The 25633-nt window shown below is 55.4% G+C and overlaps 1 protein-coding gene across 32 annotated transcripts in view, besides 7 other annotated features; it reads right to left on the bottom strand.

Annotated features, from left to right (window-relative positions):
* PRKCZ (protein kinase C zeta) overlaps positions 1-25633 on the bottom strand; it is a 136892-nt gene that overhangs the window by 41626 nt on the left and 69633 nt on the right. For 29 of the 32 annotated variants that reach the window (XR_007061965.1, XR_007061966.1, NR_146911.2 and 26 more), the window contains one exon: positions 8423-8508. Coding sequence is in view for 13 of the 32 variants with exons in the window: in XM_047425255.1 (XP_047281211.1) it covers positions 8423-8508 (86 nt within the window). In the remaining 19 variants the exon portion in view is untranslated. Of the gene's footprint in view, positions 1-8422; positions 8509-8683; positions 8845-9769; positions 10074-18085; positions 18105-25633 lie in introns of those variants that run through there. The other 3 variants (XM_047425273.1, XM_017001793.2, XM_047425307.1) reach the window with 3 other exon arrangements.
* Positions 3229-3812: an enhancer, noted in NCBI's record as "H3K27ac-H3K4me1 hESC enhancer chr1:2071397-2071980 (GRCh37/hg19 assembly coordinates)". NCBI's record gives its function as "activates a minimal SCP1, AML or CMV promoter by ChIP-STARR-seq in naive H9 embryonic stem cells {active_cell/tissue: H9 hESC(naive)}" and the evidence as "EXISTENCE:reporter gene assay evidence [ECO:0000049][PMID:30033119]".
* Positions 5908-6856: an enhancer, noted in NCBI's record as "H3K4me1 hESC enhancer chr1:2068353-2069301 (GRCh37/hg19 assembly coordinates)". NCBI's record gives its function as "activates a minimal SCP1, AML or CMV promoter by ChIP-STARR-seq in naive H9 embryonic stem cells {active_cell/tissue: H9 hESC(naive)}" and the evidence as "EXISTENCE:reporter gene assay evidence [ECO:0000049][PMID:30033119]".
* Positions 9707-10656: an enhancer, noted in NCBI's record as "H3K27ac-H3K4me1 hESC enhancer chr1:2064553-2065502 (GRCh37/hg19 assembly coordinates)". NCBI's record gives its function as "activates a minimal SCP1, AML or CMV promoter by ChIP-STARR-seq in primed H9 embryonic stem cells {active_cell/tissue: H9 hESC(primed)}" and the evidence as "EXISTENCE:reporter gene assay evidence [ECO:0000049][PMID:30033119]".
* Positions 9707-10782: a biological region, named in NCBI's record as "H3K27ac-H3K4me1 hESC enhancer GRCh37_chr1:2064553-2065502".
* Positions 10153-10782: a silencer, noted in NCBI's record as "silent region_104". NCBI's record gives its function as "represses an Ori minimal core promoter by ATAC-STARR-seq in GM12878 lymphoblastoid cells {active_cell/tissue: GM12878}" and the evidence as "EXISTENCE:reporter gene assay evidence [ECO:0000049][PMID:35858748]".
* Positions 11607-12556: an enhancer, noted in NCBI's record as "H3K27ac-H3K4me1 hESC enhancer chr1:2062653-2063602 (GRCh37/hg19 assembly coordinates)". NCBI's record gives its function as "activates a minimal SCP1, AML or CMV promoter by ChIP-STARR-seq in primed H9 embryonic stem cells {active_cell/tissue: H9 hESC(primed)}" and the evidence as "EXISTENCE:reporter gene assay evidence [ECO:0000049][PMID:30033119]".
* Positions 12557-13506: an enhancer, noted in NCBI's record as "H3K27ac-H3K4me1 hESC enhancer chr1:2061703-2062652 (GRCh37/hg19 assembly coordinates)". NCBI's record gives its function as "activates a minimal SCP1, AML or CMV promoter by ChIP-STARR-seq in primed H9 embryonic stem cells {active_cell/tissue: H9 hESC(primed)}" and the evidence as "EXISTENCE:reporter gene assay evidence [ECO:0000049][PMID:30033119]".

The raw sequence follows: 25633 nt of genomic DNA, 5'->3' as shown, positions 1-25633 counted from the left end.
AGCCTCAGAGAAGGGGAACTCGGACTCATGAACATCTTGAACTGCTACATGGCAGCCTGCAATTATCTTAGTATTCTTTGTTCAGTATTTTTCAAGATTTTAAATGATCCTTCTTTATTCTTCATGGTTCTGAACAATTCCAAAATGATGGTAATTATCAGCTTGTTTGGCGATGTTTTCATGAACGTTTAAATGTTACAAAAGGCATGAGAATGAATGTTGTCGGGACCTGCTTGGACATTTTCTGCCTTGCCTAAGTGCCCAAAGTGTTCCTGGGAGTAAAGGGGTGCATCTGCACTGTCACCATGTGCCCAGAGCCTCCAATTCAGATTCTTTCCAGACACAGCCCTTTCATATGCTTTTCCCTCTTTTACCATTTTTCACAAATTTCCTTCCTATTACAGAGCTCACCTCACACCTGAGTTAAGACGAGGAAATATAGGCCGGGCGTGGTGGCTCACGCCTGTAATCCCAGCACTTGGGGAGGCCGAGGCGGGTGGATCAGGAGGTCAGGAGATTGAGACCATCCTGGCTAACACGGTGAAACCCCGTCTCTACTACAAAATACAAAAAATTAGCCAGGTGTGGTGGCGGGCACCTGTAGTCCCAGGTACTCGGGAGGCTGAGGCAGGAGAATGGCGTGAACCCCGGAGGCGGAGCTTGCAGTGAGCCGAGATTGCGTCACTGCACTCCAGCCTGGGCGACAGAGTGAGACTCCATCTCAAAAAAAAAAAAAAAAAAAAAGAAGAGGAAATACAGTGTACTGTGAACCGCCTGCACTGAATTCACGTGAGGAAACGGGACTGAAGAGAAAATACAGCACTGAGTTCACGTGAGGAACCGGGACCCTCAGCACATGTGGGCATCAGGTGCGGCTGAGCAAAGGGGGTCCAGACCCTCTACGGGACTCTCCTGCTCATCAGAAGAGCCTGCTCGGGACGTCAGGGCCCGGGGACCCTCCCCCCGCCCACACAGCCCACTTGTTTGGGTGGGGCCGGATGACCAGCACCTAGGACAGTGCCCAGCACACAGTGGGCATCGGGTAAGAAAACACACATGCATCATCGCTTTCAACTTCGTCACAGGAAAAAGGAGCCGACTCCACATCCTCTGCACATGCTACCTACATCAGCCCAGCCATGACAGAGCCACACCAGGACCGTGGGCTCTATTCGAAGGAGGGATGGGTGAGAGGGGGCATCCCACCCAAGACCTCTGATTCCGGGCCAATCTAGCTTAATGCCGGCATTGGGAGTTTTGCCCCAGTCGGCACCTGCTGGATGTGTGGACCCTGGATTGAAAGGAGGCGCTTCGGCTGCTGGATGTGTGGACCCTGGATTGAAAGGAGGCGCTTCGGCTGCTAGATGCCTGGACCCTGGATTGAAAGGAGGGCGCTTCGGCTGCTGGATGTGTGGACCCTGGATTGAAAGGAGGCGCTTCGGCTGCTGGATGCCTGGACCCTAGAGTGAAAGGAGGCGCTTCGGCTGCTGGATGTGTGGACCCTGGATTGAAAGGAGGCGCTTCGGCTGCTGGATGTGTGGACCCTGGAGTGAAAGGAGGCGCTTCGGCTGCTGGATGTGTGGACCCTGGAGTGAAAGGAGGCGCTTCGGCTGCTGGATGTGTGGACCCTGGAGAGAAAGGAGGCGCTTCGGCTGTTGGATGTGTGGACCCTGGAGTGAAAGGAGGCGCTTCGGCTGCTGGATGTGTGGACCCTGGATTGAAAGGAGGCGCTTCGGCTGCTGGATGTGTGGACCCTGGAGTGAAAAGAGGCGCTTCGGCTGCTGGATGTGTGGACCCTGGAGTGAAAGGAGGCGCTTCGGCTGCTGGATGTGTGGACCCTGGAGTGAAAGGAGGCGCTTCGGCTGCTGGATGCCTGGACCCTGGAGTGAAAGGAGGCACTTTGGCTGTGCAGACCTGCTCCATTCTCCTCCGCGTCCACAGCGCAGAAGAACACCAGCTTCCATTTCTAAAACCATTATTTAAAAGTCAAGTTCTTTTGGTATAATGTGCCTAATGTGTTTGGCTTTCTCTAGGTCACCATTTAACATCTTACTCTGCAACACTACGGTCCTAGTTAAGACCAAATTCACAGCCACCAGGTATCTTTACAAATTAACCAAGATTGGCCAGGCGCAGTGGCTCATGCCTGTAATCCCAGCACTTTGGGAGGCCAAGGCGGGCGGATCACTTGCGGTCAGGAGTTCGAGATCAGCCTGACCAACATGGAGAAACCCCATCTCCACTAAAAGTACAAAAATTAGCTGGGCGTGGTGGCGCACATCTGTAATCCCAGCTACTCGGGAGGCTGAAGCAGGAGAATCACTTGAACCCAGGAGGCAGAGGTTGCAGTGAGTCAAGATCACGCCACTGCACTCCAGCCTGGGCAACAGAGTGAGACTGTGTCTCAAAAAAAAAAAAAAAAAAGAAAAAGAAAAACAAACAAACAAACAAAAAACAAATTGACCAAGGTTCCTTTCCGTGGGGAGCCACCCTTACCTGGGGTCAGGCCAGGACATCTGCTGACAAGGGCAGTGTGAATCTGCCAAGGGTTGGCACCCACCACAGAGACCTCACGTGTGTGCTTTGTAAGTGAGGCTGCCCAAGCTCTGTCAAAAGCTCTTGTTTCAAATCTATATTTGAATAGTAACATTTCAGGAAATGTGACATTAAAAAAATAAAACCTAAACCCCAAGTTTCCATTCTCAGAAACTCAGAGGAATTCATAGATTAATGGGTAAAAACGTTTTAAGTACGTCTTACATGCTGCCAACTTGTTCCTTGCTCATATTCCCTCCCTCCGACAGCCTCGCGCCTCGCTCTGTTCCCCAGGCTGGAGTGCAGTGGTACGATCTTGGCTCACTGCAGCCTCCGCCTCCTGGGTTCAAGCGATTCTCCTGTCTCAGCCTCCTGAGTAGCTGGGATTATAGGCACCTGCCACCACGTCCGGCTGATTTTTTATTTTTAGTAGAGACAAAGTTTCGCCATGTTGGCCAGGCTCGTCTCGAACCCCTGACCTCAGGTGATCTGCCCGCTCCAGCCTCCCAAAGTGCTGGGATTACAGGTGTGAGCTACTGCACCTGGCCTCCCTGCTCACATTTTCTTTCTTTTTTTTTGAGACGGAGTCTCACTCTGTCACCCAAGCTGGAGTACAGTGGCATGTTCTCAGCTCACTGAAACCTCCAGCTCCCTGGTTCAAGCCATTCCCCTGCCTCAGCCTACCGAGTACCTGGGATTACAGGCACCCACCACCACGCCTGGCTAAATTTTTGTTGTATTTTTAGTAGAGACAGTGTTTCACTATGTTGACCAGGCTGGTCTCGAACTCCTGACCTCAGGCACTCCGCCTGCCTCGGCCTCCCAAAGTGCTGGGATTACATGCGTGAGCCACCGCGCCCGGCCTCCTGCTCATATTTTCAATCGCCCATTTTCATGTTTTAGACCTGTCACACCCTTACCTATTCTGATGGTTGGAGCCTCTGTCTGGGCTTTTACCAGCTTGGACTCAGGATATCCTGCTTCCCACTGTGTTTTGTGGTTTTCCATTGCGAGCTCAGATGCCTGATTTATTTATCATCAGGAATTCTTTGATGCTGGCTTGAAAAGGAATTGCATTGGCCTCTGCCAGCCACCTGAGGGCACTGCTTGGACCAAATCTGACAGGCACTGCTGCTCATGGATGGCATCTTCTGATCTCCCTTCCCCACCCTCACTCTCTATAGCCTCTTCTCCAGGGACCCAAGTGGTCACTCCTCTGTCCACTCATGATAAAGGCCAAAGTCTTGGGCCATCCACCCAGCTGTCCCTGCGGCACTTGTGCCCTATGTGCCACCAGCAGAGGGCTCTCCAGCAGCCACAGCTCAGAGACGTGGCCCTACCATGGTTTATACCCCACGTGGTGGAGTGGGTTGTTCACAGCAAAGGGAGTAGCTAACTCCAGACACGATTCCCACTCTTGCTTGTAAAAATAATGCTGAGCTGATCTTCCCCATACACAAACCTCCGAATGACGGGTGATTTCTTTTGAAGAGAGGCAGGATGGGAACATCGCTGCACATTTCTGCGTGATTTCCAGAGAGTAGGGTCCATGCCTGTCCCACATCCCCAGGGTTGGCAGACCCCATGACAGCAACCCTGGGCTTTAATTACTTTTTTGTTGTTTTGTTTTTGTTTTGTGTTGTTTTGAGACAGAGTCCTGCTCTGTCGCCCAGGCTGGAGTGCAGTGGTGCCATCTCGGCTCACTACAACCTCTGCCTCCCGGGTTCAAGCAATTCTCTGCCTCAGCCTCCCGAGTAGCTGGGATTAGAGGAACCCACCACCACGCCTGGCTACTTTTTTTGTATTTTTAGTAGACACGGGGTTTCACCAACTTGGCCAGGCTGGTCTTGAACTGCTGACCTCGTGATCCACCCACCTCGGCCTCCCAAAGTGCTGGAATTACAGGCGTGAGCCACCACGCCCGGCCGGCTTTAATTACTTTTAACATCTTTGATGTTGACAGAGAAAATGTCTTGTGTTTCCCTGATCACCTGTGGAGGTCATGCTGTCCTCATCTCTAAACAATTACAGTCTTACTTCATTAACCATTCACACCGGTTCTCAGCTTCTCGGTCCCAGCATTTACCAAAAGCCTTTGTGTAGGAGCTCTTCAATTCTAAGTGTGAGATGTCTGGATCTCTTCTGGGTTTTACGTGCTACAAACCCCTTTCCTGTATGTTTTTTGCATTTAATTTGGAAACTGAAAAAATCTGAAAATTCTGTGTGGCTGAGTCTAAAGACCCTCTGGTCCTCACTGCCCGGTTTTTCTCCAGAGATCTGCACAGCTTCTAGGTTTCTTCTTTTTATTTATTTGAGACGGAGTCTCACTCTGTCGCCCAGTGGCACAATCTCAGCTCACCGCAACCCCCGCCTCCTGGGTTCAAGTGATTCTCCTGCCTCAGACTCCTGAGTAGCTGGGATTACAGGCACGTGCCACCACGCCTGGCTAATTTTTGTATTTTTAGTACAGATGGGTTTCACCATGTTGGCCAGATGGATCTTGAACTCCTGGCCTCAAGCGATCACCCATCTCGGCCTCCCAAAGTGCTGGGATTACAGGCGTGAGCCACTGCGCCGGGCCCTGTGATTTTTTTTTAACCTCAATCCACCTGCCGTTTACTGTGATGGGAGCCAGCAGCCTGGATTCCTACCCACCTCACCCCCCATTCCTGGGCTGATAATTAACCAATCACCTCCTCAGGATTTACTGGAGGATCCCTTCCCTCCTCTGCAAGAAGTGCTCAGCCCTGGGCCAGCTCTGACCCAGCAGTTCTGTTCCACTGAGTGGGCTTCCCTGCCACCCCCGGCACCATCCTTCATGGAGGAGGCAGCCCCTCCTCACCTCCTTCTTCAGAACCTCGCTGGCTCTCTCCCTTTGGCTCCCCCACTGAACGCTTCCTTCTCAAAGTCCAAGGGCAGTGCTTTCAAGTGCACAGAAAGAGCTGGGCGGGGAGCCCAGTCCCCAGCGACGGATGCCCACTCTTTCATCCTCGCTTCACCAACAAAGAGGACGGAAAAGTCTCTCTTCTCCTGGGTGCTTGTTCCCCTTTAAGTCTTACTGATTCACACAAAACCAAGTGCTTTCCTCCTGAAATGCCCCTTTTAAGTGACAGCAGAGGTGATCTGAGTGGTCCTGCAATTAACATGAAGTGAGCACTACATGGAGCGGCTCTGAGGTCCGGACAGAGAACGTTACGAGCAGGTGGCGAGATCAGAGCCCGGGCACAATTAGGCGGGAATCGGACAGGCTGAACTGCAGGGCAGCCGCCCTCCCTGAGCAGTCAGGTTGCAGGCTTTCGGGCCACTCTCGCCTTGGCCTCTGTGTTTGTGAAACTGGCTCGTTCACACGCCCAGAAGGGCTGTACCTCCACAGCAGAGCGGGGCTGTGGTGGGTCCACCTGCCACCCTTTCCTCCAGTGTCTGCAGGAAGGAAAGGAAAAGCTTTTGCTCACTGGTGGTGGTGGGGAGGGGGAGGGTCACTTATGGTCTGCACCTGCCATCGGCAGAATGGACTTTTCTCCTCAAAGCTGCACAGTGAGAGGCCACACCCTGTGCTGCCCGGAGCCCTGGCCCATGTCACTGGGTGGGTAGGGTTCACTCTGGGCTAATCCGTCATGCAGAATGACAGAAGAGACAGATACAGAGGAGGCCATGTGGAGACGGAAACAGAGGTGAGTGGTTCCTCTGCCAGCACAGGAACAAGGCTGCCCGCAGCTACCAGTGGCTGCGGGGGAAGGAGGGCGCAGCCCTGCGGCACTGTAATGGGTCACACCAGGCGCCGACTTGACTGGGTTGAAGGATGCCTAGAGAACTGGTGAAGTATTGCATCTGGGTGTGTCTATGAGGGCGCTGCCCTGAGACTGGTATTTGAGTCAGTGGACTGGGAGGGCAAGACCCACCCTCAATGTGGGTGGGCGGTGGCGTCCAATCAGCTGCCAGTGCGGCTGGGGCAAAGCAGGCGGAAGCAGGTGGGAGAAGCAGTTTTCCTGGGTCTTCTGGCTTTCATCTTTCTCCCATGCTGGATGCTTCCTGCCACTCGTCCTACCCTGGGACATCAGATTCCAGGTTCTTGGGCCTTTAGACTCCGGGACTTATTAGTGGTTTGCCGGGGGCTCTGGAGCCTCTGGCAGAGGCTGAAGGCTGCACTGTCGGCTTCCCTGCTTCTGAGGCTTTTGGACTCGGAGTGAGCCACTGCTGGCTTCTTTCTTCCCCAGCCTGCAGCTGGCCTATCGTAAGACTTCGTCTTGTGCGCCCGAGGGCCAGTTCTCCCTAATCAACTCCCTTTCATGTACATGCATCCCATTGGTACCATCCCTCTGGAGAACCCTGACTCATAAAGACACCTTCGTTTTGGACTTCCAGCCCCAGACTGCCGGAGAGCAAGTTTCCATTGTTTAAGCTGCCAGTTAGTGGTGCTGTGTTCTGCAGCCCCAGAAGACTCACAACGTGTGTCCTCAGAAAAGGCGGCCAGGGTGGGCTGGGGTGCGGACGGGATCTCTGTGCTGCAACACTCCCTGGCACCATACTCCACAGATATTCCCAATGTGGCCACCTCCAGCCACACTCTCCTGAGTCCCAGCCTGAGCCAAACTGCCTGTTCACCCACACCCACCTGCCCTAAGCACACAGCCGCCTAGGCTCCCCATTTCCTGGTGTCCCCAACCTCGTCCTCAGGGCCTCCCAGACACTGGCTGGACTCTCCCGTGCCTGCCACATCCTCGGTGCTCCTGGCATCTCCTCTGCACTGACCTCCCAGGCAGTATGATCAGATGCCTCCTCCTCCAGGAAGTCCTCTGGGCTCTCCAGGCAATGTCCAGGTCTTCCTAGTGCTGACCTGCTCATCTCCTGGAGCCTAGTTCCCACCACACCCCTCTTCAGTCACTCAGGAGCTTGTCCTGCATCCTCACCTGTGTTAGCCCCAAGAGGAATGGGAGTCCAGACCCACTCTTGCCACATGACAGGGACCGAGCACACGCAGGGGCAGGAGGAGTGGCTCACATGAACAGAACTTCCTGATGGTCTAGAGGGCAGACCATGGGAGTAGAAGGAGGGGCAGGTGACTTGAGGCCGCTCCAGGAGACAGAGGTGCCGTACACCCAGCGGAGGTTGACACGTGAGGCCACGTGGCAGGTGAGTGTGGAATGCAAAGGTAGCCCCAGGGCCACCGCTCCTGTGAGGGGCTGTCAGGGGCTCTGTGTGGAGTCCCGCAGTGGGGACAGGCCCTGTATACTTCCACGCACCCCCAAGACACTCCCTGTGTGGGACCAACTCCAGGGCCACCAAGGCACACCCAGACACCTCCCCTTCCACTGTGAAACAGAACAATTACAAAAGCATCTGAATCACCCATTTCATAGGAACTAGAAAAGCATCATAAAGAGAAACAAGGAAAATAAGCTAAGTGTCCTCTGGAAAGGGCCCCCGTGGGTGGCCGCTGGGAAGACAGAGGCCCAAGCAGGGATGGGGCTGAAGGAGCTTCCAGGGTTCACGGAGACTCTTAGCTACTAGGCAACACTGTGTGCGGCTGAAAACACACACCCTGGCGCTACATGCGGATGGAATGCGGCCGCCCCACTCTGGATGCAGGCAGGCTGGGGCCTCAGGCCAGTGAGCCCTGAGCCCTGATAAGAGTCACACAGCCAGGCAGACACAGACAGCATTCACTGGGCAGCCACCACGCAGGGAAAGGCCCGGAGGGCACTTCCCGCCTCAGACAGCCCTAGTCAAAGCCTCATCCTGCACCAGAGAAAGCATTTCTGTAACCTTGCCCTCGGGCGCCAAAAAGAGCCCAGCCTGGGCTCAGCGGGACGTGCCTCCCCTCCTCTCTCTTTGCTTTTAAAAGTAACAAAAGGCCCCTTGAGGGACTAGTCCCAAGGGGGCCACTCACCCTGTTAAAGCGCTTGGCTTGGAAGAGGTGGCCGTTGGCACGGTACAGCTTCCTCCATCTTCTGGCTCCCCGGCGGTAGATAGATTCTGGAAAGGATATGAGAAAGGTGTAAAGAAACAGCGTGGCAGCCACGAGCCCACGCAGGGTGCAGCTGCGACAGGCCACTCCCGTCCAGGTGGTGGCGGCCGCAGCGTCCTCCCAGGCAGGGAAGGCAGGGCTGGAATGACGGCCTCCCGGAGGCCTCTCTCTGCCCCTCCTCACATGATCCTCATGGTGTCACGGCCTCGGCGGCTGGAGACAGAGGCCCAGGTGTGGATGGAGCCAGGTGTCCTCGCAGGGCGGACAGGATCCACCACGGGACGGCCGCTTGCTGACAGTGGAGCCGTGAAGTCACCCCAGGCCAACGCAGGCCGGGTCCGTCTGTCCCCTGCCTGTTTTCCTTTCCACCCCCCTCCTCCCCAGGCAGCCCTGTGAAAAACAGGCCTTTTTTTCCGCACAGGGATAGTTCAAACGGGCCTCAATATTTACACATGACTGTCAGAGGAGGAAGAGTGGACGCCACAGTGGAGCCTGGGCCAGGCTAAGGTGCAGAGCGCCACTGACTTCACTTCAACAACTCGCCAGACGCAAGCGGCGCGAGGCCCCGGGCTCTCCAGTCGAGTTTCCTTTAACCTAATAAATCTCAGGGCAGGAGAGCCAAACCGACCGTGCACCCGTTTCCATTCGCAAGTTACCAAAAACATCATCTTTATAACATGCATTTGACAGTCCAGCCCATGCGGACTGTGCCTCTTATGAGAAAGGCGGCACCAAGCCTGTAACCAGACGGCTGGTCTTGTCCTTCCTCAACACCGTGTCCCACTTTGCTCCTCCAAAACTCTTTGAAACGGATGTGTGTGTAAACAGAATCTTCAGAAACGGAACGTACAATGGGAAGCTTTGTGCTTTTATAAAATTCCATCATAAAAGCGACTTTCATGAACCAAATGAAAGTGCCACAAATATACTGAAGTGGAAATTGTAACGGAATGTTTTTAAAACAAGCAAATGACTAGCCCTGACTGGAAACTGCTGAAATCAGGCCACACGGATGGTAAAACCTGCTCCTCTTCCTTTAAATGGAAGATTCAGAGCGAAACCAAGAAGTCAGGGGTCCTCCAGGAGCGCAGGTCAAAGAGGCCTCACGGCAGCGGGCGGCTCAGCCCACCCAGCCCTCCCAGGATGCGGCTTGGGGTTTGACAGAGGCCTGGTGACACCAAAGGCCCCTCCGGCCACAGACGCGACTCCCAGCAAGCCCGAGGCCAGGCTGGGGTCGTGCAGCCTGTGCCCCCTCCACACTCCACCCACCTGGGCGCCAGGCCTGGGCTCCACAAGAGGCGCAGACCCCCAGGGGCGGCCACACTTTCGGCCCCTGTGCCCCTCAGCCCTGAGGGGGTCGGGTGACCCCTCATGTGGCTCTACCCACGAAGACAGGGCGCATCCTGCCCTAACCAGCCTACGGCAGGTCCTGGCTCCAGGAGTCCGTAGGCCTGACTTGTCCCCTCGGGGGATGCTCTGCCTGCCCAACAACCCTCTCTGAAGAGAGAAAGAAAGAGAAGGGTGTGAAGCGGCGGAGACGGAGGTACTGTGGGCCACAGAGAAAGTGGCGCACAGCTGAGGGGCCGAGTCGAGGGACAGACGCGCAGCCGGGGGCGGAACCGAGGGACGGACGCACAGCCGGGGGCGGAGCCGAGGGATGAGCGCACAGCCGGGGGCGGAGTCAAAAATGGACGCACAGTGCGGGGCGGAGCCAAGGGACGGATGCACAGCTGGGGGGGGTGGAACCAAGGGGCGGGCGCACAGCTGGGGAGGGGGGTGGAACCAAGGGGCGGGCGCACAGCTGGGGGTAGAGCTGAGGGAAGGACGCACAGCTTGGGGACTGAGCTGAGGAACGGACGCGCAGCTGGGGGTGGAGCTGAGGGCCAGACGCACAGCCGAGGGGGCGGAGCCGAGGGAACCGACGAGCAACTGGGGGCGGAGCCGAGGGACGAACGTGCAGCTGCGGGCGGAGCCGCAGGGCGGTCACACAGCTGTGGGGCGGAGCCGAGGGACGGCCGCGCAGCTGGGGGGCGGAGCTGAGGGACTGACGCACAGCTGGGGGTCGAAGCTGGCTGGAGCGGGGACACACAGGACCCACCCCCAGTGCGCCTGGGAAACCCTGAAAATGCGCCAACTGGACATCCTTCGAGTTCAATCAGTAAAGAGAATGACGTCCTAGCAGACGCCAGGGCTCATCAGGGAGCCTCCAGCAGGGTGAACAAACTCTCCCACAGGACACAGCACACAGCCCGGCGTCCCCAGTCCCCGCCGGGACGAACTGAAGTGTCCCCTAAATTCACGTGGGGAGCCCTAACCCCCAATGTGGCTGTATTTGGAGATGGGGTCCCCACGCCTCCAGAACTTGAGAAAAGACGTTTCTGTCGTGTGTAAGTCACCCTGTCTGTGGGGTTCTGTCACAGCGGTCCAGGCGGGGGCTGACCCCGCTTCCCACCATACACACACTAGGCCCCTCAGAGACTAAGGGTGGAAACGTGGACAGCAAAGCGGCAAAACATTTTAGAAGGAATTACAGAAGATTTTAGTCACCGTGAGTCACCTGCACACATGAGAGACAAAGGGCCCGTGGCTAGGGATGCTGGACTGAAAAATCCATGAGGAAAAAGCAGTCAAAATAGGAACAGAAGCCCAGAGCAGGCGTCTCGCCCGAGAGAGACACAAGCATCTCAGCCCCGAGAACCATCGAAGCAACCCGCAAGGCCGCCCAGGCGTCTCCTACACTGCGGGGTCGGCACAAATCAATCCCCCGCAGCCCCAAACACCTTCGAGGCCCAGGAGTGCCCCGGAGAAATGGCTTATTCTCTGGGAGAGCCTCGCAGCTCAGAAACGAGGACCATTTGCTCCCCCTAGGGCCCGGCAGCCCCACTGCTGCTCCGTCAAAGCTCAGAAACGCTCGCTCCTGGGCTCGGGAGCATTCAAGATGTCTGATGACCTCAAGGTCTGTGGACAAGAGAATGCATAAATAAACCGATGTGTGGGCGTCCAACGGAAGACAGAGCCAGTGCGAAGCCCACCTCAGCCATGTGCAGTGGCCCAGAGGTGTCTTAGAAACACCAAAAATCAAACCCTAGGGTGACAGAAACATGGTGCCATTGCTATAGAACCAAACAAGTAAGTCAAAAAACAAACAAACAAACCCAATACTAGGCACGGTGGCTCCCGCCTGTAATCCCAGCACTTTGGGAGGCCGAGGCGGGCAGATCACAAGGTCAGGAGATCGAGACCATCCTGGCTAACACGGTGAAACCCCGTCTCTACTAAAAATACAAAAAATTAGTCGGGTGTGGTGGTGGGCGCCTGTAGTCCCAACTACTTGGGAGGCTGAGGCAGGAGAATGGCGTGAACCCGGGAGGTGGAGCTTGCAGTGAGCCGCGATCGCGCCACTGCACTCCAGCCTGGGCGACAGAGCGAGACTCTCTCAAAAACAAAAACAACATCTTGTTTTAGAATACACAGTCATGTGACAAAAATGTTCCAGTAAGCAAATAACCAATCCAATTTCAGGCCGCAGCAGTAACCAATCCAACTTCAGGCTAGCAGCGGCGGGGGACAGCCTGCAGTTGGGTGGGGCTTAAGTCCTGCCCCTGGCTGGCTGCCGGGGGCAGTGTCCATCGATTACCACGCTTTATATTGCCGAGTCCTGCGCTCCTAGCATGTGTCAAATGGTATGTTGAATAACAATGGAACTAAATGACCTGGCAGCACAGGGACAGAGAGGATAATTTCAAGCATTTCCCTCAGACCTGCCTCCTTCAAATATCCCATCTCACTTTTTAAACTTTAAGGGTTGGTTTTGAACTTTTATTAGGGAAGGGAGTTGCCCCAACCTGTGTTGCCCAGGCTGGTCTCCAACGCCTGACCTCAGGCGATATGCCCACTTCGGCCTCCCAAAGTGCTGAGATTACAGGTGTGAGCCACTGTGCCCGGCCTTCAAATCAGATTTTTAAAAAGGAACAAAGAGCTCTGAGCCTGCAAAGAAACTCCCAGGTGAGAAACCACTGGCATCCCTGCCTGCTCACGGGTGCCGCCTGGAGCTTGGCTTGAGGCAGGACACATGTGGCACCCGGCAGTCAGCTCCAGGCGCCACGGGGACAAATTTGCAAATACCAAAGGAAAATGAGTGAGAGGCGGGGATTCAAGTGACCCAAAGACCACAGAGGCGAGGCCACGCCCCACCCCACTGCAGTCCAGCTGGAAGGTCCGAGCCCATGATGGTGGCCCTCTTCTGGGAAGGCCAAGTGTGCTGGCACTGCTTGCGGGAGGGTCGAACTGTGTCAGGCGGGAGTACTGCTGTGTGTGGAGACCGAGTGTGTCAGGCGGGAGTACTGCTGTGTGGAGACTGAGTGTGGCTTAAGGGGATATGCGTGGATGCCAAGTGCCAAGGAAGGGCCTGCAATGGTTCACTGTATGTGTCCACGCGGCTGGGCCATGGTGCCCAGACGGCTGGTCAAATGTTATCCTGGATGTTTCCATGAGGGTGAGTATGGATGAGATAAACATTTAAATCAGCTGACTTTGGGGGAAGCAGACTGCCCACCACAATGCAGGTGGGCCTCACCCAAGCAGAAAAAGGCCTCCACAGAGCAAAGGCTGAGCTCCCTAAGCAGCAGTGCTGCGGCTGTGGCTCCTCCTAGGTCTCCAGCCTGCTGGGCCCCCTGTAGATTTTGGGCTTCATAAGTCTCTATGAACAAGCCAGTTCCTTACAATAGATCTTTCTATACACACACCCTATTGGTTTGGTCTCTCTGGAAAACCCTGGCACAGGGTCTCCGAGGTGGGAGTTTTGGGCAGGCATCATGTTTCCCATTTTCCTCGCCCTCCCAGCCCCCCATGCGGAGTCCCACGGGAAGGCACGCCAGGAGCCCCTGGCCCTGGGGACCCTGGTTGGGCAGGACACCCAATACCCCCAGCATCTGGGTCTTGCCTCAGTGAAATGGGGGAAGCCCCATGGGGTCCATGCCAGTCCCCAGCTGGAAAGCAGGGACCAGGTGAGTTATAAGGGATAACGGACAGCAGGGCAGCCTGTACTTAACAAATACACCTTTTGGCCAGGCGTGGCGGCTCATGCTTGTAACCCCACTACCTCGGTAGGTCGAGGCAGGTGGATCACTTGAGCCCAGGAATTTGAATCCAGCCTAGGCAATATGGTGAGACCCCGTCTCTATAAAAAAAATATAAAAAATGAGCCGAGTGTGGTGGCGTGCACCTATAGTCCCAGCTACTCGGGAGGCTGAGGTGGGAGGATCACCTGAGCCTGGCAGGTGGAGGCTGCACTGAGCAGAGATCACACCACTGTATTCCAGCCTGGGCAACAAAGCCAGACCCTGTCTCAAAAACAAAACAAAACAAACAAACAAAAAAACCCATCCTTTTTATTTGGGGGTAATTTCAGATTCACAGGGAAACTGCAAAGGCTGTGGAGAACCTGGTAACCAGAAGCCTCCCTGTGGCCAAGGCCCTGCCTGGTCCCTACTCGCCTATGGAGGCTGAGAGGAAGCCTGGTGCTAGAACCTCAACTCCAGCTGTAGGCAGGGCCGCCCTCAACTGTCTTTTTTAATAGACTATTTTTAAGAACAGCTTTAAATTGGAGAGTTCCCAGAGACCCCCCCTGCCTGGCTCCCCACAGCTCTCATCTTCCACCCGCCTGCTACACTGTTACAATTAATGAGACAGGATCCATGGCTACCTTAAGCGATATTCAGACCTTTCCTTGGTTTTCACCCACTGTCTGCGTCCGCCCCAGGGTCCTGTCCTGGAGCCCACGTGTCACCATCCTGCCTCTTCCAGGAGCCCACGTGTCACCGTCTTGCCTCTCGGGCCCTGCTGCACCGTGACTTTCTCAGACTTTCTGACCGTGCTTTCTGACCGTGACAGTTCTGAGTGCAGGCTGGGTGTCTGCAGGACGCCCCTCCGTTAGGACTGGCCTGATATTTTTCTCAAGGTGAGACTGCACTTAGGGCCTCCTTAGCTTCTGAATCAAAGGAGCACCTGCCTTGAAAAATCCACATTCCCACCTTTTCGGGGGATTCTGCAACTGCCAAAACAAACGGAAGCAACCACAAAAACCCCCCAAACCTTCGAACTTCAGGCAATTGACTAGAAGGTTCCCTCAGTGTAAGGGGCCTGGACACGCGGGCCGGCAGCCACTCTGCCTTTCTGGGCCCGCAGGCAGGGATGTTGGGGGGACCTGGCGGTCCCCACCCCTCAAAAGTCACAGTCGAATTTTCAGTGTTTGGGTTTCTGCTTGGAAAGCGATGGGCCTATTTCTGACCTAAGCGACAGACAGCGCTGTGAAAAGGAGAAGGGAGCCCTTCTGGGGAGTGTGCTCTGGAAACGGCCCCTGGCCCCCAGATACTACCGGCGAGGAGGCTGTGGGCCTGGCACCGCGAGTCCCCCGGCTACCTCTGTGGAACAGGGTCTCAAAGTCAAGCCCAGGTTAGCAGGAGGTCCTTCCGGGGGTACGTGTGGACACAGCCTGGGGTCTCCTGCAGTGGACAGCGCACAGTGGACGGTGCAGCCACACGGGTCAGGCTTTGGAGTCAGAGCTGGCTCGATGTCACGTGCCCATTGGGGACCCATCCTGCCACCTCCCTGGGTGCCAGGCTCTGCTGAAGCAAGCAGGGAACAAAATTGTGGGGATCACAGGGGCCGCTCCTCCTCTTTCAGCCTTAACTCCGACAACCTCAAGGAGCTCTGTGCGTGTCTTTGAGATTCTATAATTAGGACGGCCACAGGAATTCTAAGGAGCTCAGTTTCCATGGCAATCTCGCGCCTTGAGCACTCTGACAAGACGTAGAAAACACGTTTTAAAACACTAAACTCGGAGCAGCAGGCTGGGACAGGCGACAGCCCTTGGGTGCGGTGGCGGTGAGGGAGGGGCCGAGTCCCTGGCAGCAGGTCAGGGGGCACTTGAGGCCTCTCCTGTTCACTGGACATGGCCCCGCTACACAGGGTGACCAGCACAGCCCAAAGCAGTGCCACAGGACGGCCCTGCGGGGCCCGGATGGGTGCAAGGCAGTGGTCAAGCCACATGCAGATAGCCAGGTGCCTTCTATGGTGGCCCAGGTCAGTGACCAGGAGGACAAGGAGACAGTGAGGTGCCCTTGGGCCCAGAGGTCCCCAGAAGCCAGGGTGCAGCTGTCACTGAGGGTGCAGGTAAAATGGGTGCTGCCACCTCTAGACTCCGGAGCTTCTTCCCTGGGCAGCGATTTCCACTAGATTCTGAGCTCCAGGAGCCTGGGGCCACCTGGCTTCCTCTCCAGGCTTCCCCAGCACCCAGTTAGCTGCCAGCATGTCCTAGGCAAATAGAGACACAAGAACAGCAATGACCGCAAATTCGTGTCCAGAGCTAAGGTGTCCCAGGGCTGCCCGTGGCCCAGACACTGGAGTTTGGGGTTTGGGGTGGGACTCCCCACCTCACCTGACTCAGCCTGGTTGGCCATTGGTCCACAAACTGACCTGCACCCTCTATAGTGGGCACTGGGCCACCCTGGCCAGGGGCTGCCAGGGACAATGGAGAACACGAACGCAGAGTCCTAAAAAGCCACCGGGAGCCGCGGGAGACGCCGTTCGCCTATTTGCCTGGTGTGGAGCCCCTGAGCCTCGGCTACACCTGCACCAGAGCTCCCACTGCATTTCAGGCCAGAACGCTCCCAGCAGAGCTGTCTGAACAGAAGTCCTTCATTCCTTCTGCGCTGGATAGTGCCAGCCATGCAGGCACCGTTCCAGAGGCTGAGGGCAGTGGGAGGCGGGACGTGGGGCGGGACGGGCCCAGCCAGGACCAGAGGGTGAGAAGGCACAGGGAGGGGCGTCTGAGGATCTGGGGTGGCCGTGGGGCAGGGGCGGCGGTGGGGGGGGCAGTGGAGGTGCAGCCCCTCCATCTGAGGGACCTGCCCGGATCGCAAGCCTGCAACTCAAACTTCCCGTTTCTAACCACAGATCTATTTCCCAGCTGAACATGTGATTGAAAACATGCTATGCTTTTAAAGGTGACTGAAGAATAACACTAAAGTCACAGAAGACGACTTGGAAAAGGTTTTGGGCACCACTGTGGCGGGAAGCAGATGGTTGCCCGGGGCGCAGGGTCTGTTTTGGGGACTGGCAGCCACAGCCCAGGCTCCCACTGAGGCAACAACCTCCCCCTTCCCCACAGCTGCTTAGTGCAACCACACGGCACAGAAGAGCTCGAGAGACAGAAGAGGCACAGCCGAGGCGCCAGTCGGGCGAACAGGGAGCCAAGCTCTGCCGACTTCCGTCCTCTCACGTCTAGGCACGTGGGACACACGGACCCCCAGGAACAGGCAGAACCCGGCCCTGTGGGCACCGGGCCACACGGCGCAGCACAATGGGTATCAGGGTGTCAGTGATACGAAGGGACAGGCAGGTGGATAAGGGACCCAGGAGGGATGGGCGGCCGTGTCCCTGCCACAATGCAGTGGCATGGGGACTGCTCAGGTGTCCGCGGCCCTCGGGAAGGCAACCCCGGGTGAGGGGCAAGTGGCGAGCCTGGGCCAGTCTCACAGTCCAAGCCTCAGGTCCCCTCGTGGTGGAGCTGCGCAATGCCATTCCCCAACCACAGGCTGTGGCCGCTGCATCCAGCTGCCCTCATGGGTGGCTCTGATGCCCCAAGACCTTGGGCTTGTTCATCTGGGGTCTAAGCCAATCAAATGAGGGCATTTCCCAGTGACATCACGGGCCCAGGGCGGTCATGTGACTGAGACACGCAATCAGGCTGGAGGGGGGTGGGCATGGCAGGGTCGGCGGGGCAGGGTCCCCAGCCCAAGGCGGCTGGGGGGAGACAGGTAATGAGCTGGATTACCCACCAGCAGCACCCACCTCTGGACACGTGATGGGGGACCTGCCCATCACCTGCAGCCAAACAACCTGTGGGCGGCACCTGCCCCGACCACGACCCCAGCCGGGCAGCCCCTGCAGCCCAGGTCAGCAGACCAGCCCTCCAAGGCCACCAACACTGGCAGACTTTGGTTTTTGAGCTGAAAATTTAAAAAGTCTATAAAACAGAGCTTTGTTCACTGAAGAAAAGTTTCCCATTGAGGAAGCTGACAGGCCTTGGCATCCGGGTCTCTGGTGCCTGGTGCAGGCGGGGGGAGGAGACGTGACGGGAACACACTAGGTGGCAGTGCTGGATGCTGTGCTGAGAAGCCCCCGCAGGACCCCCAGGTGACGCTGCCCCAGGGCAGCCTTGGATAGAGCGATCGGGCGACAGCCTTCAGGACAGGGGCAACATCCTCGGGCCCTGGCATTCCCACCTGCGGGAATTCAGCTGCCCGACTCTCTCCCACAGTGGCCAATATGGACCCCCGGGACAGGAACCGTGCTCCATGGAAAGGAAGGGAAGTGCTGCATGTTGGCGAGAGGCAGCCGGGCGGCTCCTTCCAGGGCGCAAATCCCCGCATGGACGTGAGGAGGCCGTGGCTAGGATGCGTGGGCCCCCAAGGGACAGCCTCTGCGGCATGGACTGCTGGAGGGACCCTGAGCAAATCTGATTGGGAAACCTGGCGCTGCCCTCCGCCCACACTCCAGCCTCCTTCGAATAATCAGACTCACCTGCCATGGAATGCGGATGGAAAGCGGGAGGCACCACAGGGTCTCAGTCTTTTCTTGGGTTCCCTGGGAGCATGTCAGGGGCCACGGGGACCCACAGTCACTCCACGTCTTGCAGCCAGCCCAGGGCCCCACGCCTCCCTCCTCAGGGGAGCAGGGGTGGGACAAGGGCCAAAGCCTCCAGTTCCCAAGAAGCCAGGCCCCCCAGGATGTCCTCCGCCCCACCGTCCTCAAATGCTGCTGTCAGCAGCCGTTCAGGAAAGTGCCCCTGAGAGATGTTTGGGAAGGAATTACATTCCAACAGTCTGGCCTTACAATCAGTTCTACTGAAAATATCCTAATTTGTTGTAATACAAAATCAAGATTTTATGAAATGACTGAGAGGCTGACCAGTATTTTCATAGTTTCCGTGGAAAGATGTACGCCAACTTCCAAGCAGTCAGTTGCAAATAAATTCATACCAAATACCGCTCCTTTCTATGTAAGAAATTTTTTTTCTGGATTCACTAAAACAAACAAAACACATCAACACCAACAACAAGAAGCTGCTCCGAGTTCCTCACTGCTGAGCTCCGTGTCCCCCACCCTCAAACAGACCCAAAGGCCCAGGCTGGAGGCAGAGATTGCCCAGCGCCCGGCACAGAGCCAGGCTGGCAAGGCCCCTGGGAGGACGTGCGGCTGAGTCACAATAACTCAGAACCAGGAACTGAGCTGCGAGGGGACACAGCGCTGAGGATGTGGCCAGGGACGCCACGCGAGGAGTCTAACCCTCCTCCCACGAACAATCGACGAAAGCTGGAAAATAAGTAAAAACCGCGTTGGAGGCATCCGAGACCAGACAAGTGCGTCAGAAGAGAAGGTGTTGCCAGAGAGATGCGCCACCCAAGCCCTGCACATGCACGGCGTCTGCTGACCCTTCGGAGGTCACACAGAAAGCCGGGCCAGGCATCTCACTGGAGACAAAAACTGGGGTTCAGGGCCACCAGGACAATCAAGACCTATGGAACTGTCTCCGTCGGCTCAGCCACCACAGCAAAATACCACAGACTGGGCGGCTTAAGTGACAGGCATTGACTTTCTCATGTTTCCGAGGCTGGAGTCAGGATGACGGAACCTGCAGGGCGGGGTATCTCCTTGCTTGCTGGCGGCCTCATGCTCACCATGTTCTCATGTGGAGCAGAGAGCACAGGCGCAGCACAACCTCTCTTGTGTCTCATCCTCTCATCCTATAAAGGGCACAAATCCCACCACAAGGGTTCTACCCTGTGACCCTAACCACCACCGTGACCCTAACCACCGCCGTGACCCTAACCGCCGCCGTGACCCTAACCACCGCCGTGACCCTAACCACCACCGTGACCCTAACCACCACCGTGACCCTAACTACCACCGTGACGCTAACTACAGCCGTGACCCTAACTACCGCCATGACCCTAACCACCACCGTGACCCTAACCACCACCGTGACGCTAACTACAGCCGTGACCCTAACTACAGCCGTGACCCTAACCACCGCCGTGACCCTAACCACCGCCGTGACCCTAACCACCACCGTGACCCTAACCACCGCCGTGACCCTAACCGTCGCCGTGACCCTAACCGCCGCCGTGACCCTAACCGCCGCCGTGACCCTAACCGCCGCCGTGACCCTAACCGCCGCCGTGACCCTAACCGCCACCGTGACCCTAACCACCACGACCCTAACCACCGCCGTGACCCTAACCACCGCCGTGACCCTAACCACCGCCGTGACCCTAACCACCGCCGTGACCCTAACCGCCGCCGTGACCCTAACCGCCGCCGTGACCCTAACCGCCACCGTGACCCTAACCACCACAACCCTAACCACCACCGTGACCCTAACCACCGCCGTGACCCTAACCACCACAACCCTAACCACCGCCACGACCCTAACCACCACCGTGACCCTAACTACCACCGTGACCCTAACCACCACCGTGACCCTAACCACCACCACCCTAACTACCACCGTGACCCTAACCACCGCCGTGACCCTAACCACCACCGTGACCCTAACTACCACCGTGACCCTAACCACCGCCGTGACCCTAACCACCACCGTGACCCTAACTACCACCGTGACCCTAACTACCACCGTGACCCTAACCACCACAACCCTAACCACCACAACCCTAACCACCGCCACGACCCTAACCACCGCCACGACCCTAACCACCACAACCCTAACCACCACAACCCTAACCACCACAACCCTAACCACCGCCACGACCCTAACCACCACAACCCTAACCACCACCGTGACCCTAACCACCGCCACGACCCTAACCACCACAACCCTAACCACCACGACCCTAACCACCACCGTGACCCTAACCACCACCATGACCCTAACCACCACCGTGACCCTAACTACCACCGTGACCCTAACCACCACGACCCTAACCACCACCATGAACCTAACCACCGCCACGACCCTAACCACCACGACCCTACCACCGTGACCCTAACCACCACCGTGACCCTAACTACCACCGTGACCCTAACCACCGCCGTGACCCTAACCACCACCGTGACCCTAACTACCACCGTGACCCTAACCACCACCGTGACCCTAACCACCACCGTGACCCTAACTACCACCGTGACCCTAACCACCACGACCCTAACCACCACCATGAACCTAACCACCGCCACGACCCTAACCACCACGACCCTACCACCGTGACCCTAACCACCACCATGACCCTAACTACCACCGTGACCCTAACCACCGCCGTGACCCTAACCACCACCGTGACCCTAACTACCACCGTGACCCTAACCACCACCGTGACCCTAACCACCACAACCCTAACCACCACAACCCTAACCACCGCCACGACCCTAACCACCGCCACGACCCTAACCACCGCCACGACCCTAACCACCACAACCCTAACCACCACAACCCTAACCACCGCCACGACCCTAACCACCACGACCCTAACCACCACAACCCTAACCACCACAACCCTAACCACCACAACCCTAACCACCGCCACGACCCTAACCACCACAACCCTAACCACCACAACCCTAACCACCACCGTGACCCTAACCACCGCCACGACCCTAACCACCACAACCCTAACCACCACGACCCTAACCACCACCGTGACCCTAACCACCACCATGACCCTAACCACCACCGTGACCCTAACTACCACCGTGACCCTAACCACCACAACCCTAACCACCGCCACGACCCTAACCACCGCCACGACCCTAACCACCACGACCCTACCACCGTGACCCTAACCACCACCGTGACCCTAACCACCACCGTGACCCTAACCACCACAACCCTAACCACCGCCACGACCCTAACCACCGCCACGACCCTAACCACCACGACCCTACCACCGTGACCCTAACCACCACCGTGACCCTAACCACCACCGTGACCCTAACCACCACAACCCTAACCACCGCCACGACCCTAACCACCGCCACGACCCTAACCACCACCACCCTAACCACCACAACCCTAACCACCACGACCCTAACCACCACGACCCTAACCACCACGACCCTAACCACCACCGTGACCCTAACCACCACCATGACCCTAACCACCACGACCCTAACTACCACCGTGACCCTAACCACCACGACCCTAACCACCACCATGAACCTAACTACCACGACCCTAACCACCACCGTGACCCTAACCACCGCCGTGACCCTAACCACCACCGTGACCCTAACCACCGCCGTGACCCTAACCACCACCATGACGCTAACTACAGCCGTGACCCTAACTACCACCGTGACCCTAACCACCACCGTGACCCTAACCACCACGACCCTAACCACCACCATGAACCTAACTACCACGACCCTAACCACCACCGTGACCCTAACCACCGCCGTGACCCTAACCACCACCGTGACCCTAACCACCGCCGTGACCCTAACCACCGCCGTGACCCTAAGTACCGCCGTGACCCTAACTACCACCGTGACCCTAACCACCACCGTGACCCTAACCACCACCACGACCCTAACCACCACCGTGACCCTAACTACCACTGTGACCCTAACCACCACCATGACCCTAATTACTGCTGTGACCTTAACTACCACCATCACCCTAACTACAGCCATAGCCCTAACTACTGATATAACCCTAACTACTGCCATGACCTTAAGTACCACCATGATCCTAACTACCACCGTGACCCTAACTAACTACCGCCATGACTCTAACTAACTACCGCCATGACTCTAACTACCTGTCAAAGGCTTCGTCTCCAAACACCATCACACTGGAGGGTTAGGGCTTCAACATATGGATTCTGGGGAGACACACACTCAGTCCATAGCATTCCGGAAGTACACGCCTTGTTCGCTTATGCTGGCCCACAGCCAGGGAGGAACTTGGCCTCAGGAGGAATGGGCCTCCAGGCTCCCCCATGCCTTGTTCAGACAAGACTGCCCCCGCCACACTGGGAGGAGTTAAGGGTTCTGGGGCCATTGGGATGTAATGACAGTATTTTGCACGTGAGAAGGACACAGAATAGACATTCCCACCCCAGAAGAGAGAACTACGATGCCAGGCGCAGTGGCTCACGCCTGTAATCCCAACACTTTGGGAGGCTGAGGCAAACGGATCACCCAAGGTCAGGAGTTCGAGACCAGCCTGGCCAACATGGCAAAACCCCGTCTCTAATAAAAACATAAAAATTAGTGGGGCGTGGTAGTGTGACCCTGTAATCCCAGCTGCTTGGGAGGCTGGGGCAGGAATATTGCTTGAACCTGGGAGGCGGAGGTTGCAGTGAGCCGAGAGCGTGCCATTGCCATCCTGGGCAAAAAAAAAAAAAAAAAGAATCAAATGGAAATTCTAAAAGTAAAAAATGAAGTGACTGAAATTAATAATTTAAAGGGTAGATTTAAGAGTAGATTGGGTGAAATAAGAGATAACAGTAGAAAAAAATCCACATTGAAGCACAAAGCGGGAAAAAACCAACGCAGAAGAAACCCAGAAAAAAGAGCACATTAGACACACAGGTGTGAAGTGTGGGGGTCCCAGGGGAGAGAGAACAGGATGCTATTTGAAAAGCCAAGGGCTGGCCGGGCACGGTGGCTCACACCTGTAATCCCAGCACTTTGGGAGGCCAAGGTGGATGTATGATCAGGAGTTCCAGACCAGCCTGGTCAACATGGTGAAACCCTGTCTCTCCTATAAATGCAAAAAAAATTAGCCGGTCATGGTGGCAAGTGCCTGTAATCCCAGCTACTCGGGACGCTGAGGCAGGAGAATCACTTGAACCGGGGAGGTGGAGATTGCAGTGAGTCGAGATCGCGCCATTGCACTCCAGCCTGGGCAACAAGAGCGAGACTCAAAAAAAAAAAAAAAAAAAAAAAAAAAAACGAAAAGTCAAGGGCTGATATTTTCCAAAAGAGACAAAAGCTATCATGTCCCTGATTCAAGAAGCTCTACCAATCTCAATTAGGAGAAATTCTCGATTCCTCTGTCCTTCACAAGGCTGCTGTTGTGATGAAAACACTTTTAACAGGAGTCAGAGAAAAGAGATGTTGCCTTCCAGGGGTGGCAGTGAGGCTGGAAGGCGCCCTCACCACAGAAATGACAAACACTCCAAGCCAACACAAAAACCTGTTGGGGGAAACCCCCTACCTGCCTAGAACTCCACACAGAGTGGAGAACACCCTCCAGAAAGAATGCCAAAGACATTTCCCACACAAACAAAAAACAACTGGGCGTGGTGGCGCACACCTGCAATCCTAGCTCCTCAGGAGGCTGAGCCAGGAGAATCGCTTGAACCTGGGAGGTGGAGGCTGCAGTGAGCCAAAATCACACCACTGCACTCCAGCCTGGGCAACAAGAGCAAAAATCCATCTCAAAAAAAAAAAAAAGAAAAGAAAAGAAATAAAAAGAATTAATTACAAGTCTGTGCTGAAAGGAATACTAAAGGGACTACTTCAGGCAGAAGGAAGCTGGTCTCCATGTAAGCGCCGTCCTGCAGGAAGACTAGAAGGGTAACCTGGGGGTAAATCTGAAGGACCACTGTCTAAGACAACACTTGGTTTGTGGGTCTGAAATACACGTAGAATTTACAGGCATGATAATAACAGCACAAAGACTGATAAAATAATAGCACAAACTAACAATAAGGAAAGAAGAATAATTAGGCCAGGCACAGTGGCTCATGCCTGTAAACCCAGCACTTTGGGAGGCCAAGGCAGACAGATCACTTGAGGCCAGGAATTCGATACCAGCCTGGTCAATATGGTGAAACCCTGCCTCTACTAAAAATACAAAAAATAGTTGGGCATGGTGGTGGGCACCTGTAATCCCAGCTACTCAGGAGGCTGAGGCAGCAGAATCACTTGAACCCAGGAGGTGGAGGTTGCAGTGAGCCAAAATCGCGCCCTTGCACTCTAGCCTGGGCAACAAGAGTGACACTCCATCTCAAAAAAAAAAAAAAAAAAGGAAAAAATAAGAATTAAACTGTTATAAGGTTTTGAAGAAAATGGTAAAAGTAGTTTATGCTACGTTCCAAGGATGTGACTCATAATTTCTAAGGTAGCCATTAAAATAACATTAAGAGAAGTATTACTTAACAAAGCTATAATAATAAAGGGAGGAAAGTGGAATAAAAACATCTGATTAAACCAAAAGAAGGCAAGAAAGAGGGACAAAACAAAGAACAGACCGGACAAATAAGGACCCATAGCAAGATGACAAAGCTACAATGTAACACATCAGAATGACATTAAATGTAAACGGACTAAATCTTTCATTTAAAACACAGCCATTTTCAGACTGGATTAAAAATAACTAACTTCTGCTTTTAAGAGTCATTTCCAAAATATACAGAAAAGAAAGTGAAAGGATGAAAAAATAGAGCATATAAACACTAAGTCCCCTTCCCTCCCTCCCCTCATCTCACACACACACACACACACACACACACACACACACACACACAGAGCTGGTGTGGTCACACTAACATCATACAGATCAGATGTTAATGACAATAATATTTTCATCTAAAGAGCAACATTTGGCCGGGCACAGTGGCTCACGCCTGTAATCCCAGCACTTTGGGAGGCCGAAGCAGGCGGATCAGGAGGTCAGGAGATCGAGACCATCCTGGCTAACACGGTGAAACCTCGTCTCTACTAAAAATATAAAAAATTAGCTAGGCGCGGTGGCAGGCACCTGTAGTCCCAGCTACTCAGGAGGCTGAGGCAGGAGAATGGCGTGAACCCAGGAGGCAGAGCTTGCAGTGAGTGGAGATGGTGCCACTGCACTCCAGCCTGGGGGACAGAGCGACACTCTGTCTCAAAAAAAAAAAAACAAAAACATTTCATGATGATAAAAGCATCAATCAAAAGGAAGATATGGCCAGGCATGGTGGCTCACACCTGTAATCCCAGCACTTTGGGAGGCCAAGGCGGGCGGATCACCTAAGGTCAGGGGTTCAAGACCAGCTTGGCCAACATGGTGAAACCCTGTCTCTACTAAAAATACAAAAATTAACCAGGCGTGGTGGCACACACCTG

The sequence above is a fragment of the Homo sapiens genome, chromosome 1 (genome assembly GCF_000001405.40).
Source record: "Homo sapiens chromosome 1, GRCh38.p14 Primary Assembly".
Lineage (NCBI taxonomy): Eukaryota > Metazoa > Chordata > Mammalia > Primates > Hominidae > Homo > Homo sapiens.
This window is presented reverse-complemented; position numbering and strand designations above follow the sequence as displayed.